General features: G+C 36.9%; 1 long non-coding RNA gene across 1 annotated transcript in view, besides 1 other annotated feature; it reads left to right on the plus strand.

The window, feature by feature from the left end:
* The window catches only part of LOC105375626 (uncharacterized), a 58,659-nt gene that overhangs the window by 9,636 nt on the left and 29,149 nt on the right, over nt 1-19,874 (plus strand). The window lies entirely within an intron of this gene.
* Nucleotides 5,726-6,298: an enhancer, noted in NCBI's record as "NANOG-H3K27ac-H3K4me1 hESC enhancer chr8:88637362-88637934 (GRCh37/hg19 assembly coordinates)". NCBI's record gives its function as "activates a minimal SCP1, AML or CMV promoter by ChIP-STARR-seq in naive H9 embryonic stem cells {active_cell/tissue: H9 hESC(naive)}" and the evidence as "EXISTENCE:reporter gene assay evidence [ECO:0000049][PMID:30033119]".

Consider the following 19,874-nt stretch of genomic DNA (forward strand, 5'->3'; position numbering starts at 1 on the left):
GGATACTCACTGTAACCAAAGGCTAGAAAAAGGTGACCTCATGTCTAAAACCAAAATAACTAAATAAACAATAACAACAGAAACAAAATGAACTCCTACAAGTCAACAAGAAAAATACGGGAAAACTAATAAAAACTATGGGCAATGACAGGAATGTGTAATTCAAAACAGAGAATCACCAAATGATTAATATTTGATACTCTACTTCTATAGGAAGTTTGTCAATGTAAATTTTGGAACTAAGAATGCTAAAAATAGAAAAATGCCATATGTTGGTGAGAATTTGAAAATATTGAAGGTCAAATATTCTATTGAGAGTTAAAGTTACTGCCATTCTAAAAAGTGCTCTTGCAGAACTATGTAAAACTATGTATATAACTTTGGACTCAGAAATTCCACTGCTAGGGATATATGCACATTCAATTCTAATAATTGCTTCTCATTTGTTTGTAGTAAATATCCACTCTAAGAGAAACATAATTAAAATGTAGTGGACTAAATTATAGAATATTATGCAGCAATTAGAGGCTGTACATATATATGTAGATGTATATATAATATATATACACACACTAACATAGATTATAAAAACAGTATTGTGTGAAAAAAGAAAAAATGGTTTATATGTACAAAGATCGATAACATTTATGGAATTAAAAAATATATACACACAATACAAAGCAATGTTTTATACCAAAGCCCATGAGAATTTAAAGACATAGCAAACACAATAGAGTAGTACCCATGAGGCAACAAGCAAAGGAAGTATGACATCACATGGGAATGAAGGAGAAGAAAATAAAAAGAGAAACTTCTTGATATAGATAACTATGATAATGTAGTATTAATTGGAATGTATGGTTAACTCAACAGGCTATGTGTGAGGGCAAAGAAGAAACTAAATAAAAGAATAAAATATTGAGAAATCAAGAGTACTAAGAGTCGGCTGGGCGCAGTGGCTCACGCCTGTAATCCCAGCACTTTGAGAGGCCGAGGTGGGCGGATGATGAGGTCAGGAGTTCGAGACAGGCCTGGCCAACATGGTGAAACCTGTTACTACTAAAAATACAAAAATTGGCTGGGCATGGTGGCAGGCGCCTGTAATCCCAGCTATTCGGGAGGCTGAGGCAGGAGAATGGCTTGAACCTGGGAGGTGGAAGTTGCAGTGAGCCAAGATCGCACCACTGCACTCTAGCCTGGGTGACAGAGTGAGACTCCATCTCAAAAAAAAAAAAAAAAAATGAAGAGTCAAGAAATTCCCAACTGTGGTCTTCATTTGCTTCTGATTTTTAGGCTTATGGAAATAATATGAAAAAAGAGCTCATTAAAACAAAAGGGAAGATGATAAACTAACAAAAAACTTTATTTGACCCAAATTTTTATTTTAATATTGGAAGCAACAAAGAAAGTCACTTTTTATGCTCTGTAATTCTATGTTCAATATCTTTATTGAATTACACTCCCACATTATTAAAAGTCATAAACAAATATTTCTGTATCTTAAAATTTTTCTCTTTATTCTTGTATAATCAAAAAGTAATGGGAGATAAAAATGATTTTTTAATGCACTAGAAGGTAGGTATATTAAATATAGCTTTCTTTGTTGGGGCTCATTTGCAGTAGATTTTCCCTTCCTAAATATGTTTACTAAAATGAAAGTAAAATAATAAGCAAATTCTAGTGAGTCATCTATGCAAAATAAACTAGCTTGCCTGGTGACATAAAGAAATACTAGACAGTATGTGGTTATAATTTTGCACCGATATTCAGATAAATAATCACTGCAGGAAGCACAGGTGGGGCTGGTATTCAAATTCATAAATCTTCAGGTTTTCTAATGGTATCTAATAATTCAAATTCTTAAATAGATTGTGTACTAAGTGAAAATAATGGGACAAGGCCATATTTTGTAACTTCTTGTGGATATAAGTTTGCTTGTCTGTTGCAGTAAATTTATGCCAATTTTGTGGACCATACACAGTGTGATTTGTGACAATGGCCACTAACAAAAGCTTTTATTCTAAAGAGTTTGCTAATTTTCAAAAGGGCTTTTTGAGCATGAAACTACATACCACTATTTCTTTTCAGCTTTGTGTCAAGAAAAGGTCACTTTATGGGAGTTATTGTTTATGATATGTTAACATTCACAGGAAAGAGACTATGGTTATTTTAGGATCAAGATGACAGCTATATGAAATGATAATGTAGCTATATTGGGAAATGTAATTAAACTGCCTCTGTGTGTTGAATGATAATTGCAATGAGACTGCTCAGTGAAAATTTGATGATGAGACATGAAGAAATTCAAAGTCCTACTGACTCCAATCTTATTTAGAAATACAAAATTCAACCCAGATTGGTGAAAAACATTTGGTTCTATGTAAGTGTAAAGGGAACAAACAGTTAAAAATTGTTCTTTTCTCTTAAGTCAGCAAACTGTACTTTTGACAATTGCCTTTCCCCAAACTACAGAAGTCTTTCTCCTCGTACAGTTTTGAGCAAACAACACTTCAGCCTTTTGCCCATATATCTCTCCACTGTTAGGCCCAATACAGGAAAGAAGAACCCTGCGAGTAAGTGCTGCTCCAAGAGGGGCTGAGCCTGATTCCAGCAGACTCTCCCTTTATAAAGTCCAGGTGGCCCTGGAATCAGAAGAGCCTCAAAAAGTACTGCTCTTGCCATGAGATTTGTTTTCATTGACTTAGAGATACTACAGTTTACTTCAGTGGGTTTTCTAGAGTTGAGCTACCCTTGCATTCCTGGAAGAAACCAACTTGTAAACTGCATATTATCCAATTGGTAACATATATTTTAAAATAATGTGTTAATTTTAATTGAATGCATCCCACATATAATAGCACTATGGTTTATTTTCAAGCTTATTTTCTTGAAGAACTTTTTTTATTCTCATAAACCAAAAATTTTAGCAAGCAGCTTTAAAAATTTGTCATTGCATCAAAGTGGATGGTTTTGCTGTAAAGATTTGGGTGTTATCAGTTTATTCTATGTTTGTTTATTACTTGGCAGTTTTGTTCTGGTTCTTTCTCAATTCCGATCATCTATAAATTGGATCATCTCTCTTCTCTCCACAGTTACCATCTTTCTGATCATTTTCTCCTGTATGTTTTTTCTCTTTTACTCTTAAGGAGATTCTCTATTCCCCAATATCACTGATATAATTGTATATGATATAATTATATACTTTCTCTTCTTGGTACCTCTAAAGCACATTTTAATTTGCTGTTGTTGGCTGGTGGCTCATGCCTGTAATCCCAGCACTTTGGGAGGGCAAGGCGGGCAGATCACCTGAGGTCAGGAGTTTGAAACCAGCCTGGCCAACATGACAAAACCCTGTCTGTACTAAAAATACAAAAATTAGCTGGGCATAGTGGCGCACACCAGTAATAACAAGTACTCGGGAGGCTGAGGCAGGAGAATTGCTTGAACCCGGGAGGCAGAGGTGCAGTGAGTGGGGATCATGCCACTGCACTCCAGCCTGGGCAACAGAGTGAGATTCCATCTCAAAAAAAAAAAAAAAAAAAATTAAAAACAAAATTTGCTATTGTGCTTTTAGTTGCTCTTATTCTCAATATCTGTTAACTTTTTAAAATTTTATTCTGTATCTCAAGATAGCTCTATTTTCATCTCGTTTTTCTTTGTTATGTAATATTTATTGAAGAAACATGCATATGTATTTAAAACATTTTTTTGTTTTTGTAGAAAGCCTTTACATACTTAAAATTTATTCTGCACCTATATTAAAGTCAATCACTTACTCTTTGTTGTGGTTGCCACCTAAATAATTTTTCTCCGTTTTATTCATCCTTGAAAGAATGACAACCTATACATGTCCAATTTTTGTCACTTAATGAGTGTGAATCATCTCTTTGATCAACATCACAATCAAACTGGATGCTGCCATGAGATAACCTCACACATATTTTTGTTCTATAATACATCTGTTAATGTGGCTCTCCTGGTCTGGACAGATATTTCCTTCTGCTGCCATTTCTAAGTCCTCACAGTTTAAATATGTTTCTCCATAGTTAATGTGGAGTTAAGTTATAGCTCCTCTCTAGAAATAGTGCATTACATAATTTAATTCCCAGATTATACAACTACTGCAACTCTTTCTGTAAATCTCTGCTTGGTCTCACATCCTGGATATTCCAACTACATTTATTTTTACCCATGGGCATATTCCTGAATTTTTAGGAAGGGATTTCAGAGTTTTATCTTTTAATTTAATATTTTATCAGTGGAGATTTTTAATAGAATGAAATATTTAATTTTTAAAATGATGCCGGTTCCTTCATAGTCTCTGAAGCTAAAGACAGAGGCCACTTTATCAGCTAAGGCCTGGTATCATAAAATGTGACAGACAAATTTCTAAAAGCTAAAATTGGAATTCATTCATCCTTGAAGTTCTCGAAGTCATTCTTTGATTTTTAAACAATGAATAGTTCTTTGTCTAAGCAAAACAGCATTATTAAATTACCTTCAGTAATTGAAAAGGAAGAATATTTGAGTTGCAGGAAGTCCAAAGTAAAATCATATGAAGTAAACCAAACTTATAAATACCATATGTGTGGACTCTTTAGACAATGGCTTTTGTTGGTTCTATATGAAAGTAATAGAACAGCAGTTTGTATCATTGTCTTAAGCAGAAAAAGTCTGTAACAGTTTGAAGAATTAGACAATCCTGTTTTTTTCAATAAGATACTCCCCCTTTTTATATTTTAGTAATAACATGGTTTGAATAATAAGGGAACTGGCTAAGGTTTTTGTTGTTGTTATGTTGTTTGAAAGCCGTTGAAGATCCCGTCAGCCAAACTTGGAATTTGGTCCTTGGTATACCACAGAGCCAACCAACAGCAGCAAGCAGCAGTGAATGTGAATAACAAGTTCTCTTTTTTTCTTCCCCGTGTAAGTTAACAAATCACTGTTGTCTCCAGTATACAGAACCTCAGCATTGACATTCTAGAGGTAAAATGTATTTCACATTTTGAAAAGGACCAACCCTAAGACAGTTGGTAAAGTTAAAAAAAAATACTGTCTCTGAAGTCCTTCATTGACTTTCTGAGTTTATTTTACTTCAGCCATAGTCCAGGGAATCAGTCCTTTAAGATGGACACTTCTCCAATTCTTTCCACCAGATGAGAATATATGACAATTAAGTGAAAATTGATGCTAGAGTGAATTGATTCAATGATAATTTTCCACATTCCTCACAGTCATTCTCTAGGAATCTTGGTAAAACTTACATGTGTCATACAAGAGGGAGCATGGAATACGAGAGATGTGAGTTAAAATTTTACCTTTCATTTTTATTGGGCAATATTTACATATTACTTAATTTTATGCATATTCTCAATATCTTACTTGAAGACTTTCTGTCTTTATTATGAAAATTAAGCAATAAGGGGAGGAGCCAAGATGGCCGAATAGGAACAGCTCCAGTCTACAGCTCCCAGCATGAGCGACACAGAAGACAGGTGATTTCTGCATTTCCATCTGAGGTACTGGGTTCATCTCACTAGGGAGTGCCAGACAGTGGGCGCAGGTCAGTGGGTGCGCGCACCATGGGTGAGGCGAAGCAGGGCGAGGCATTGCCTCACCTGGGAAGCGCAAGGGGTCAGGGAGTTCCCTTTCTGAGTCAAAGAAAGGGGTGACGGAGGGCACCTGGAAAATCGGGTCACTCCCACCCGAATACTGCGCTCGCACCACAAGATTATATCCCACACCTGGCTCGGAGGGTCCTACCCCACGGAGTCTCGCTGATTGCTAGCACAGCAGTCTGAGATCAAACTGCAAGGCAGCAGGGAGGCTGGGGGAGGGGCGCCCGCCATTGCCCAGGCTTGATTAGGTAAACAAAGCAGCTGGGAAGCTCGAAGTGGGTGGAGCCCACCACAGATCAAGGAGGCCTGCCTGCCTCTGTAGGCTCCACCTCTGGGGCAGGGCACAGACAAACAAAAAGACAGCAGTAACCTCTGCAGACTTAAGTGTCCCTGTCTGACAGCTTTGAAGAGAGCAGTGGTTCTCCCAGCACGCAGCTGGAGATCTGAGAACGGGCGGACTGCCTCCTCAAGTGGGTCCCTGACCCCTGACCCCCGAGCAGCCTAACTGGGAGGCACCCCCCAGCAGGGGCACACTGACACCTCACACGGCAGGGTACTCAAACAGACCTGCAGCTGAGGGTCCTCTCTGTTAGAAGGAAAACTAACAAACAGAAAGGACATCCACACCAAAAACCCATCTGTACATCACCATCATCAAAGACCAAAAGTAGATAAAACCACAAAGACGGGGAAAAAACAGAACAGAAAAACTGGAAACTCTAAAAAGCAGAGCGCCTCTCCTCCTCCAAAGGAACGCAGTTCCTCACCAGCAACGGAACAAAGCTGGATGGAGAATGACTTTGACTTTGACGAGCTGAGAGCAGAAGGCTTCAAACGATCAAATTACTCTGAGCTATGGGAGGACATTCAAACCAAAGGCAAAGAAGTTGAAAACTTTGAAAAAAATTTAGAAGAATGTATAACTAGAATAACCAATACAGAGAAGTGCTTAAAGGAGCTGATGGAGCTGAAAACCAAGGCTCGAGAACTATGTGAAGAATGCAGAAGCCTCAGGAGCCGATGCGATCAACTGGAAGAAAGGGTATCAGCGATGGAAGATGAAATGAATGACATGAAGCAAGAAGGGAAGTCTAGAGAAAAAAGAATAAAAAGAAATGAGCAAAGCCTCCAAGAAATATGGGACTATGTGAAAAGACCAAATCTACGTCTGATTGGTGTACCTGAAAGTGATGGGGAGAATGGAACCAAGTTGGAAAACACTCTGCAGGATGTTATCCAGGAGAACTTCCCCAATCTAGCAAGGCAGGCCAACGTTCAGATTCAGGAAATACAGAGAACGCCACAAAGATACTCCTGGAGAAGAGCAACTCCAAGACACATAATTGTCAGATTCACCGAAGTTGAAATGAAGGAAAAAATGTTAAGGGCAGCCAGAGAGAAAGGTCGGGTTACCCTCAAAGGGAAGCCCATCAGACTAACAGCTGATCTCTCGGCAGAAACCCTACAAGCCAGAAGAGAGTGGGGGCCAATATTCAACATTCTTAAAGAAAAGAATTTTCAACCCAGAATTTCATATCCAGCCAAACTAAGCTTCATAAGTGAAGGAGAAATAAAATACTTTACAGACAAGCAAATGCTGAGAGATTTTGTCACCACCACGCCTGCCTTACAAGAGCTCCTGAAGGAAGCACTAAACATGGAAAGGAACAACCGGTACCAGCCGCTGCAAAATCATGCCAAAATGTAAAGACCATCGAGACTAGGAAGAAACTGCATCAACTAACGAGCAAAATAACCAGCTAACATCATAATGACAGGATCAAATTCACACATAACAATATTAACTTTAAATGTAAATGGACTAAATGCTCCAACTAAAAGACACAGACTGGCAAATTGGATAAAGAGTCAAGACCCATCAGTGTGCTGTATTCAGGAAACCCATCTCACATGCAGAGACACACATAGGCTCAAAATAAAAGGATGGAGGAAGATCTACCAAGCCAATGGAAAACAAAAAAGGCAGGGGTTGCAATCCTAGTCTCTGATAAAACAGACTTTAAACCAACAAAGGTCAAAAGACACAAAGAAGGCCATTACATAATGGTAAAGGGATCAATTCAACAAGAAGAACTAACTATCCTAAATATATATGCACCCAATACAGGAGCACCAAGATTCATAAAGCAAGTCGTGAGTGACCTACAAAGAGAATTAGACTCCCACACATTAATAATGGGAGACTTTAACACACCACTGTCAACATTAGACAGATCAACGAGACAGAAAGTCAACAAGGATACCAAGGAATTGAACTCAGCTCTGCACCAAGCGGACCTAATAGACATCTACAGAACTCTCCACCCCAAATCAACAGAATATACATTTTTTCAGCACCACACCACACCTATTCCAAAATTGACCACATACTGGGAAGTAAAGCTCTCCTCAGCAAATGTAAAAGAACAGAAATTATAACAAACTATTTCTCAGACCACAGTGCGATCAAACTAGAACTCAGGATTAAGAATCTCACTCAAAACCGCTCAACTACATGGAAACTGAACAACCTGCTCCTGAATGACTACTGGGTACATAACGAAATGAAGGCAGAAATAAAGATGTTCTTGGAAACCAACGAGAACAAAGACACAACATACCAGAATCTCTGGGATGCATTCAAAGCAGTGTGTAGAGGGAAATTTATAGCACTAAATGCCCACAAGAGAAAGCAGGAAAGATCCAAAATTGACACCCTAACATCACAATTAAAAGAACTAGAAAAGCAAGAGCAAACACATTCAAAAGCTAGCAGAAGGCAAGAAATAACTAAAATCAGAGCAGAACTGAAGGAAATAGAGACACAAAAAAACCCTTCAAAAAATTAATAAATCCAGGAGCTGTTTTTTTGAAAGGATCAACAAAAGAGATAGACCGCTAGCAAGACTAATAAAGAAAAAAAGAGAGAAGAATCAAATAGACGCAATAAAAAATGACAAAGGGGATATCACCACCGATCCCACAGAAATACAAACTACCATCAGGGAATACTACAAACCCTCTATGCAAATAAACTAGAAAATCTAGAAGAAATGGATAAATTCCTGGACACATACACTCTCCCAAGACTAAACCAGGAAGAAGTTGAATCTCTGAATAGACCAATAACAGGAGTTGAAATTGTGGCAATAATCAATAGCTTACCAATCAAAAAGAGTCCAGAACCAGATGGATTCACAGCCGAATTCTACCAGAGGTACAAGGAGGAGCTGGTACCATTCCTTCTGAAACTATTCCAATCAATAGAAAAAGAGGGAATCCTCCCTAACTCATTTTATGAGGCCAGCATCATTCTGATACCAAAGCCCAGCAGAGACACAACCAAAAAAGAGAATTTTAGACCAATATCCTTGATGAACATTGATGCAAAAATCCTCAATAAAATACTGGCAAAACGAATCCAGCAACACATCAAAAAGCTTATACACCATGATCAAGTGGGCTTCATCCCTGGGATGCAAGGCTGGTTCAATATACATAAATCAATAAATGTAATCCAGCATATAAACAGAGCCAAAGACAAAAACCACATGATTATCTCAATAGATGAAGAAAAAGCCTTTGACAAAATTCAACAACCCTTCATGCTAAAAACTCTCAATAAATTAGGTATTGACGGGATGTATCTCAAAATAATAACAGCTATCTATGACAAACCCACAGCCAATATCATACTGAATGGGCAAAAACTGGAAGCATTCCCTTTGAAAACTGGCACAAGACAGAGATGCCCTCTCTCACCACTCCTATTCAACATAGTGTTGGAAGTTCTGGCCAGGGCAATTAGGCAGGAGAAGGAAATAAAGGGTATTCAATTAGGAAAAGAGGAAGTCAAATTGTCCCTGTTTGCAGATGACATGATTGTATATCTAGAAAACCCCATCGTTTCCACCCAAAATCTCCTTAAGCTGATAAGCAACTTCAGCAAAGTCTCAGGATACAAAATCAATGTACAAAAATCACAAGCATTCTTATACACCAACAACAGACAAACAGAGAGCCAAATCATGAGTGAACTCCCATTCACAATTGCTTCAAAGAGAATAAAATACCTAGGAATCCAACTTACAAGGGATGTGAAGGACCTCTTCAAGGAGAACTACAAACCACTGCTCAAGGAAATAAAAGAGGATACAAACAAATGGAAGAACATTCCATGCTCATGGGTAGGAAGAATCAATATCGTGAAAATGGCCATACTGCCCAAGGTAATTTACAGATTCAGTGCCATCCCCATCAAGCTACCAATGACTTTCTTCACAGAATTGGAAAAAAACTACTTTAAAGTTCATATGGAACCAAAAAGGAGCCCGCATTGCCAAGTCAATCCTAAGCCAAAAGAACAAAGCTGGAGGCATCACACTACCTGACTTCAAACTATACTACAAGGCTACAGTAACCAAAACAGCATGGTACTGGTACCAAAACAGAGATATAGATCAATGGAACAGAACAGAGCCCTCAGAAATAACGCCGCATATCTACAACTATCTGATCTTTGACAAACCTGAGAAAAACAAGCAATGGGGAAAGGATTCCCTATTTAATAAATGGTGCTGGGAAAACTGGCTAGCCATATGTAGAAAGCTGAAACTGGATCCCTTCCTTACACCTTATACAAAAATCAATTCAAGATGGATTAAAGACTTAAACATTAGACCTAAAGCCATAAAAGCCCTAGAAGAAAACCTAGGCAATACCATTCAGGACATAGGCATGGGCAAGGACTTCATGTCTAAAACACCAAAAGCAATGGCAACAAAAGACAAAATTGACAAATGGGATCTAATTAAACTAAAGAGCTTCTGCACAGCAAAAGAAACTACCATCAGAGTGAACAGGCAACCTACAAAATGGGAGACAATTTTCGTAACCTACTCATCTGACAAAGGGCTAATATCCAGAAGCTGCAAAGAACTCAAACAAATTTACAAGAAAAAAACAAACAACCCCATCAAAAAGTGGGCGAAGGACATGAACAGACACTTCTCATAAGAAGACATTTATGCAGCCAAAAAACACATGAACAAATGCTCATCATCACTGGCCATCAGAGAAATGCAAATCAAACCACAGTGAGATACCATCTCACACCAGTTAGAATGGCAATCATTAAAAAGTCAGGAAACAACAGGTGCTGGAGAGGATGTGGAGAAATAGGAACACTTTTACACTGTTGGTGGGACTGTAAACTAGTTCAACCACTGTGGAAGTCAGTGTGGCGATTCCTCAGGGATCTAGAACTGGAAATACCATTTGACCCAGCCATCCCATTACTGGGTATATACCCAAAGGACTATAAATCATGCTGCTATAAAGACACATGAACACGTATGTTTATTGCGGCATTATTCACAATAGCAAAGACTTGGAACCAACCCAAATGTCCAACAATGATAGACTGGATTAAGAAAATGTGGCACATATACACCGTGGAATACTATGCAGCCATAAAAAATGATGAGTTCATGTCCTTTATAGGGACATGGATGAAATTGGAAATCATCATTCTCAGTAAACTATCGAAAGAACAAAAAACCAAACACCGCATATTCTCACTCATAGGTGGGAACTGAACAATGAGATCACATGGACACTGGAAGGGGAATATCACACTCTGGGGACTGTTGTGGGGTGGGGGGAGGGGGGAGGGATAGCATCAGGAGATATACCTAATGCTAGATGACGAGTTAGTGGTTGCAGCACACCAGCATGGCGCATGTATACATATGTAACTAACCTGCACAATGTGCACATGTACCCTAAACCTTGGAAAGTATATTAAAATATATATATATATATATATATATATATATATAAAGAAAATTAAGCAATACAACAACATAGGGGAAAGTATTTGCCACTTAATAGGCACTAAAATCATTTATTTATTTTAAAATGCTTTGTGATTTTAGAACTAGAAACCCTGGATAAGAGAATATTTGAGGCAAGTAGGTAATTATATAATCTGCTTATATACAGTGGCATCCTCACTTTTAAAGACTGGGAATCTTAAGCAATTATTTTAGGGAAAAGCTTTTCTCTACTCTCTTGTAAGTACCAAAAAAAAAAAAAAACTATCATCTTAGGAAGCATTTGGGAAGTAGGTTCTTCTCTCTTTACTTCATTCACTCCTCCTCATGGAAATAAGTGACACGTATTTGCAGAAATTGAAAGAATGCAATTCTTTCAATATGTACACATAGCTCAGCCTCTTCTGCATTTCTTTTTGGCCTAGCCTGCATGTAATCCAGGTTTAACTGCTGTTTCCATGTGGAAATATTCCTGGGTCAGGGTTCAGAGCCTGATTACTAAAAAGCCGTCCAAACAGCCATCTCTCTTTGTTTCTTCTCTTAAAGCTTAATAAATGTGCGGGGGTCATTCCTCTTGGAGGTGACTAGGGATGCATCTGTCCAGCAAATGCAGTCTCTTCATGGAAACGTCTCATTGCCTAGTCTCAAGAAGTATTTCGTCATAGGGCTACATTTTAACTTACTCCTTTTTTTTTTTTTTTTTTAAGACAGGGTCCCCGCTCTGTTGCCCAGGCTAGAGTTCAGTGACAAGATCTCAGCTCACTGCAACCTCTGCCTTCCAAGCTCAAGCAATTCTCCTACCTCAGCCTCCTGAGTAGCTGGGACTGCAGGAGCAACACCATGCTGCTGGGCTATTTGTGTGTGTGTGTATACATATATATATTTCTTTTTCCTTTTCTTTTCTTTCTTTTTTCGGGGGGAGGACGGAGTCTAGCTCTGTCATCCAGACTGAAGTGTGGTGGCCCGATCTCAGCTCACTGCAAGCTCCACCTCCAAGGTTCTCCAAGTAATTCTCCTGGCTCAGCCCCCTGAGTAGCTAGGACTACAGGCACACACCACCATGCCCAGCTAATTTTTGTGTTTTCAGTAGAGACAGGGTTTCACCATGTTGGCCAGGCTGGTCTCGAACTCCTGACCTCTAGTGATAAGCCTGCCTCGGCCTTCCAAAGTGCTGGGATTACAGGCGTGAGCCACCACACCTGGCCTATTTTTCTATATTTCGTAGAGATGGGGTTTCACCACGTTGCACAGGCTGGTCTCCAACTCCTGGGCTCAAAGGATTCCTCCTCCTCCTTGGCATCCCAAAGTGCTGAGATTACAGGCGTGAGCCACCTGCCAGGCCCATTTTAACTTTACTGTTGAATTGCCATCTGATTAATGTCTATAATCCAAACAGGTTTTGAATATACATAGAGAGAAAGGGGGGCTATGATTGGTAAATGAAAACACGTTGTTTATGTTGGGAAAAAACAATTTTTTCTAAGGGTAACTCATCCAATTGGTACTATCTTATGGGCTTTGTACATCCAAGATGGATATTAAAAGGTCAGGCAATTCTTTTGGAGCCATATTTCATCAATCCGTGATTATAGAGAAGATAAATCCAAGCCCAGATATCACATAGCTTTGTGGTTTTCTCACTTTCTGTATCCTCTGAACTCATTCCAAAGAGCCAAGTGATTGTGATGGAGATTTCTAGAGCTCACAAGTAGATGAGCAAATGAGTGCATTCCAATGTTCTGAGTTTGAGAATGTATTTTGATCAAATGAGTTACGAATGGCAACATTATATTTGAAAGATAAGAATTTCTTGGCAGGGCACTGTGGCTCATGCCTGTAATGCCAGCACTTTTGGAGGCTGAGGCTGGTGGATCACAAGGTTAGGAGTTCAAGACCAGCCTGACCAACAGGGTGAAACCCCGTCTCTACTAAAAATACAAAAAAATTAGCCAGGCATAGTGGTGCGTGCCTGTAATCCCAGCTACTCAAGAGACTGAGGCAGGAGAATCGCTTGAACCTAAGAGGCAGAGATTGCAGTGAGCAGAGATCACGCCACTGCACTCCAGCCTGGGCGACAGAGTGAGACTCCATCTCAAAAAAAAAAAAAAAAAAAAAGAATTTCTTGGGAATAGATTTAATTTAAAAAATGAAGAAACGAAGATTTAATAGTAAAAACAAAAGTTTATCAGTTTAGAAGGTATAATGTCATTTTTTCTTAATCAATTAGATATTTATAGTAAAACAATGACTGCAAGTTCTTCAGTAGAAGCTGAATTCGACTAGATGAGTAGTTTTAAAATATTTTAGCAACAAAGTGTTTTTAAAAAAATATATTAAATGTCGTCATGGATAATCTATACAAACCGATGAGAAAGTGGCTAACTAAGGCTAGGTAGTTTGTGGTATTATGCCATTAGATCACCTTAGGGCCCATGAGTTCCTTCTGTGAAACATACTTCCAACATTCCATATAGCATAGTAGAAAATCAGAGTCGTGGATAGTACAGCAGGAAAAAAACACACATTCTACCTATTTTGGATCTTATTTTCTCAGATCACCATTTTCCTCTTCAATCATTATGACAATTATAAACAATTAAAAACAGCAAGACTCATAATGTGCCAAACACTAGGCCTTATATACTTTATACTTCTGATACAAAATCTGTAAAGTAATAACATAACCTTTATTAACTATTATTATTAATGGGAAAATGAGTTCACTGCAAATTTTATACAAGCCACAATTCACAAATCATTATCATAAGTGTACATTTTTTTATCTATATTACATTTTATGTAGTGGGATAATTTTAAAATTATAAACATCTTTAAGGGTCAAATAATTCTTCAGCATATCCTCCCTAAACATAACTTCAATAACGCTTAAATTGCTACATTACTACATTTTGATTTTTCAATTCTGAGCATTGTATACTCCAAGTGTCCGCAAACATTTTCATCTCAGGACCCCTTTGCACTTTAAAAATTAAGAAGGACCTCCAAAGAACTTTTCTTTAAATGGGTTATATCTATTGATTTTTTTCTGGATACCAAATGCTATTGTTTATTAAGTATCTGCAATGTGCTGGACATATTATGTCATATGTTTACATGTATCATATTTACATTAGATATTATCTCTAAACCTCACAACAACCCTTCAAGACCCATAATACCAAGTCTATATTTCAAATGGGAAATGAGCTCAGAGGGGACAAATAACTTGCTCAGGTTTCTCAGTTTCCATGGAAGTGGCACAGATAGAATCTGAACCCTGCTTGTAACTACTTGGTGAATGGAAAAGAGAAGTATATGTATATGTATATATTTACCATACTACAAATTAAAACTTAGAAATTTTACAAGTTGTTTATTACATTTTGGTGTAATAATAATGTATGCAAATTACACCAATAACATCTTTCTATGAAAAATAACAGCATTTTCTGAAACAAAAATACTTAGTAAGAAGAGTGGCTTGCTTTACATTTTTGCAAATATCTTTAATGTCTACTTAATAGAGAATAACTGGATTCTCACACCTACTTCTGTACTGTCTGTCACAAAACATTGTTTTGAAGTATATGAAGAAAATCCAGCCTCACAACGCATATACTTGAGAAAGAGAAATTCTATCACACAATTGTGGATATTTTTCTTTGATACTAAATAAAAACTAGACAATAGCACTTTCTTAACATTTAGCTGCAATTTAAAACCTGAAACTATATTAAACTCTTACATTAAAATCTACTGGTCTCTCTTGTACCTTGAGGATCTTTTACCCAAATATAGGTGATTTGATAACATGCATACATTTGGACATTTGGAAAACATTGGCTATGATGCAGGTCATCCAGTGTTGACACACTTCCCTTTTTAATATCAAAAATTCATGTTCATTAGTACCACCAGTGACCACATGTGAAAAGTCTTTAAGTATTTGGAGGCTGTCAAGTCATTAAAAAAGTTGCAAAAATTCTCATCTTTGTTTGAAAATTCAAATTTTATCACTGACAATAAATACTGTCTATTGAATTGACAGGCTCACTTTGTTTATTTTTGAGAAAATGTCTATCAAATGTCCAAATATGAATACTCATATTTGTATAGCAGTTTTTTGCTTTAATAAAAACAGCATTCCATGTAAAAGGTTTAGATCACAACTCAATTGCATAAGTACACTTTTTCAAAACAACCATTGCAGTCAGTGTCTGGGGGAAGTGTTGTATGTGGACTTACCATTTCATCCCACAGAATATTTTAAAAATGTGTACCCAATGGTTACAACGTAATAAAATTAATATTTTTACCTCATCAGGTAAATTCTTCAGTAATACTCTAAAAATTTTTTTTGAAGTATACAATGACAAGGACATCTTGGAGTCTACTCCTTTCTTTGTGTTGATGCACTGTTGATCAGCAGTTTTAACACCGTGTGCAATGGAACAGGCAAATAACACTAAGCATTATTCTAAAAATAGTGTTGAGTCCATAGACCACCTAAGAATGTCTTTGGGATTCCCCAGGGGTCTGTGTACTAAACTCAGAGAATTATCACTCTCTTCTTCTATTAAAGAGAAACACCTAAATCTGTTTTATATACCAATATATGCACACTTCTGCCTGTAACTTTCATTTTTCATTTCCCCTATCCTCCAGAAACAAATGTATGAATGTTAAAATTGTTGCTTTCACAGGGATTAAAACTTATTTAGTTTTCTCTCACTTTTTGTACAGTTTTCATGAACTATTATCTTAGCTGCACACTTCGTGTCAAATATGTAGATCTCTTCTTGCTATGTTCGAACATAATAGGAATTGTATCAGGTTCATCCTTCAGGAAGTCTCTGTAGAATTTTCTGGCCTGCTCTGAACTTAATTTGTTAAATCCTAGACTTCTCATAGAATTTGTTACCCCCGAATTGCCATTCACCATAATCTTGAGACTAACCTTCCCCATTCTCTTCTTGGTCTTTCAATTTTCTATATCCTACAGCTCTCTCTTAGATTGCTCCTTTATTTTAATGGAGTTTGTTCCAGTCACCTCCAAAGAATAGAATCATGTGATATAAATGTCTTAGACCTTGCAAGTCTACAAATTCTGAGGTACATTCAAGTCAAATATTAGTTTTCCTGGGTATGGAATACCAGATTGAAAATATCTGCCCTCAGGATCTAGAAAGCATTTCTCTGGCACCACCTACTTCTCAGACTTGGGTTGACAAACTCCGGTGCCATTTTCATTCTTGATTCTTTTCTCTCTGAACTGTGTTTAAATTTTTATTTTATTTGCTCCAAAAATGGGAAGTATTATGATAACGTGTCTTGGTGAAGGTCTTCTATTTTCTATTTTGTTGAGAATTCAGTAGGTGTTTGGTCCTGTTAGATATGAATTCTAAATTTCTCTTCAAAGAATCAATATGTCAGTGTGCTCAATTCTTTGCCCTCTACTTTTAAACTTAACTTCCTCATAAAGCAACCTTTTTCAATCATCTGCTCCACCCCGAGTCATTCCGATTACCTGCTCCACCCTGACTCATTCCAATTTCGTGCTCTGCTATAACCATTTTTCCTGCCAAACCACTCACCCCATCACTCTCTTTAAATTAGCCAATCAGAATTAGTTTAGCCTGTGCAGTCTAACCCTAGCCAATAGGGAAACGACACAGCAGCAGGGGCCACGGGTGTCAAGAATAAGAACTCCTTCCCCTCCCTTGTCCAGGTGTGCACTCACCATTGCTCCATCTGTGAGGGCGCACCCTTCTATAGAAGTAAATTGCCTTGCTGAGAAGAAAAAAAGAAAATGTGATATTTTAGTGCTATTTCTTTTGTGGCACTGAAACTTTATTTATAACAGTCCCAGGAAATATTCTTGAATCACTTTGTCACTAATGTGTTCAACTCCATTTTCTCCATTTGATTGTTTTGAAACTACTAGTATTTTGATACTGAACCACATAGACTAGTCCTGTAATACTGCTATATATTTCTTTCTGAACTGTTCATATTTTTCTTTTTCATTTGTTCTCCTTTTGCTTAATTTTGCTCAAATTTGACTTCAATACTTCTATTAGTACTTTTGTGTCTGGTAACAGGGTTTTCACATCCAAGTGCTCTTCTAAATTCTTTATAAATTATCATTTTAAATAGAACAATCTATTTAAAAGTATCCTTTTCTTATCATATGAAAACAAATTCTGCCTTACTGGTCAGGATAGTCTTTAATTTTTTTAAATTATCCTTTCATATTACTTCCTCCAAGTAGCTGGGTTTTTGTTTTTGTTTTAGCTTTCTGTCTCTGTATTTTATTAGATATTATCTATAGTAACCTTCTTCTTATATCAGGGACTACAAAATTATTAGTAGCTCTTCGTGTGTGAGAGGGCCTCTTTGGCTATCACCTTTAGAGTAAGATAACTTAGATTAATTTGGAACTGATATTGTTATTATCTTCAGTTCCTGTGTTTTGGGATTGTCAGACATCCCAGAAATGTCTTCCCCAATTTCCTGCCTGGAGGGTGTAATTTTGGCTGATAGTAATCTTTGAACCAGATGCACTAAGAAAAATAAAGATTTCAAGGTTTAGTGTGTAAATAGTCACTTAATGTCCCTATTTTGAACATAATACATCTAGCCTCCATTGTACTTGTTATCCTTCAATGCATAGATTGTCTCTTTGACAATGTCCTGAGAATTACCTACATGCTGCATTCATGGAGAGGTTGAAATAGGCCGCCCATCCAGATGAACAGAATGTAAGGGAACACAGGAAATACAACTGCTGCCAGATTGGTGAGCCTTTGGTATCAGCTCGCTTTTTAGTTTACTACAACTGTTTCTGGTTTATAGCTTTTAAAATCTGATGAGTTACTTATCCTTCATTAATCTGTTTTCCATGTTCTAAAACTGGATTGCTACTATCAGACTTTCCTCTTCATCATTATGGTTTTATATATTTTGTAAAAAATTATCTTATAAGGGCTTCTGGTGGGATTGGAGGTCAATGTTTGCATTAAAACTGCCATTTTATGCAGTAGCCAGCTAATACAGCCTTATGTACAAATGATGTTTGAATACATAAACTTTTATTATGACATACATATAGATAAGTGTATAAACCATAAGTATACATGAGTATAACCAGAAAAAGAGCCTGACCATTATTCACATACCAGTAGCCTCCTTCATATCCTGAGCCCAAAGGTAAGTATTATTTTTATATCTGTCACCACACATTTATTTAGTTATATTGACTATTTTTAAACTTTATGTAAATGGATTAATACAGTGTGTACTCTATTTTATGCTGCTCTTTTTACTCAAATTTTTTTTGTGAAAATCTTTCATACTGTAGGATATAACAATATTTGCACCCTTTCATTGTTGTATAGTTTTCCATTTATAACCCTAATAATGGGGTTTTTACTTGTTTCCCATTATGGAGTAATACACATAATGCTGCTTTTAAAGTTCTTGCCCATGACTTTTGTTGTACATGAAATTAAATTTCTTTGGCTGTATATCCAGAAGTGAAATGTCTTCCTCATAGGTGGTGTGTATTTTAAACAAAACCCTACAATTTCAAACATTTGGAACTTTTAAAGTTATTGAAATATTAAGTAAAGAATTCCAAAAGTCCTCATATAGTAATTCATCATTTCTTACACATGGAAAATAGAGTACTTTTGTTTGATTTTTATAGAGAGAAATTTTTAATACACAAGGTTTCCAAATAAAGTTACAGTGAAATGGGTAGGAGTTAAGAAATAAAAATTAATAATATTCATATGTCACTAATATGAAATGCAAATGAATTAGCATAAGAAACCTCCTCTGAAAGATGGACAAATACTAATCATATTCCAGGATATTGATTGGAATATATTTAGCATTAGGAAACACAAGCAGTTCAAATGTTTCGTAGGCTCAGGGCCTATTTCTGATAAACCAAATTCAAACTTGTAAGGAGCATAAATTCTCTTTCCAATCTTGCACATATGCAGCCTTTTGATGAATGGTAAGTTTTGGAATTTAGGGCCACAGCCTATCACCCTAATTTTACTTCCTTTTGCCATTGTTTCTTCTGCTTATATTCTGCACCTCCCAAAAATTTATTATCACAGTATCATCAAAACTTTCACTCTCATGTTTTACAAATTTTATTACTCAATATCTAGGAGGAGGAAATTATATTCCAGAATACTATATCTATATTGATAACTAAAGAAAAGAATGTAAATTTCCACATTGTCTATACATTTTTGTCATTTTGATTTGTGTTAAAAATATACCTCCTCTAATTTCACCCATTCTCTTATTAGCTAAAACTTACATTTCTCATGCATCTTGCTTTTCTCTTACAAGAAGGCCACTCACTTCCTCATTTTTTCCTTCACCATAAAGTTCAGAAGGTTCT

This window comes from Homo sapiens, chromosome 8 (assembly GCF_000001405.40).
Source record: "Homo sapiens chromosome 8, GRCh38.p14 Primary Assembly".
Taxonomy (NCBI): domain Eukaryota; kingdom Metazoa; phylum Chordata; class Mammalia; order Primates; family Hominidae; genus Homo; species Homo sapiens.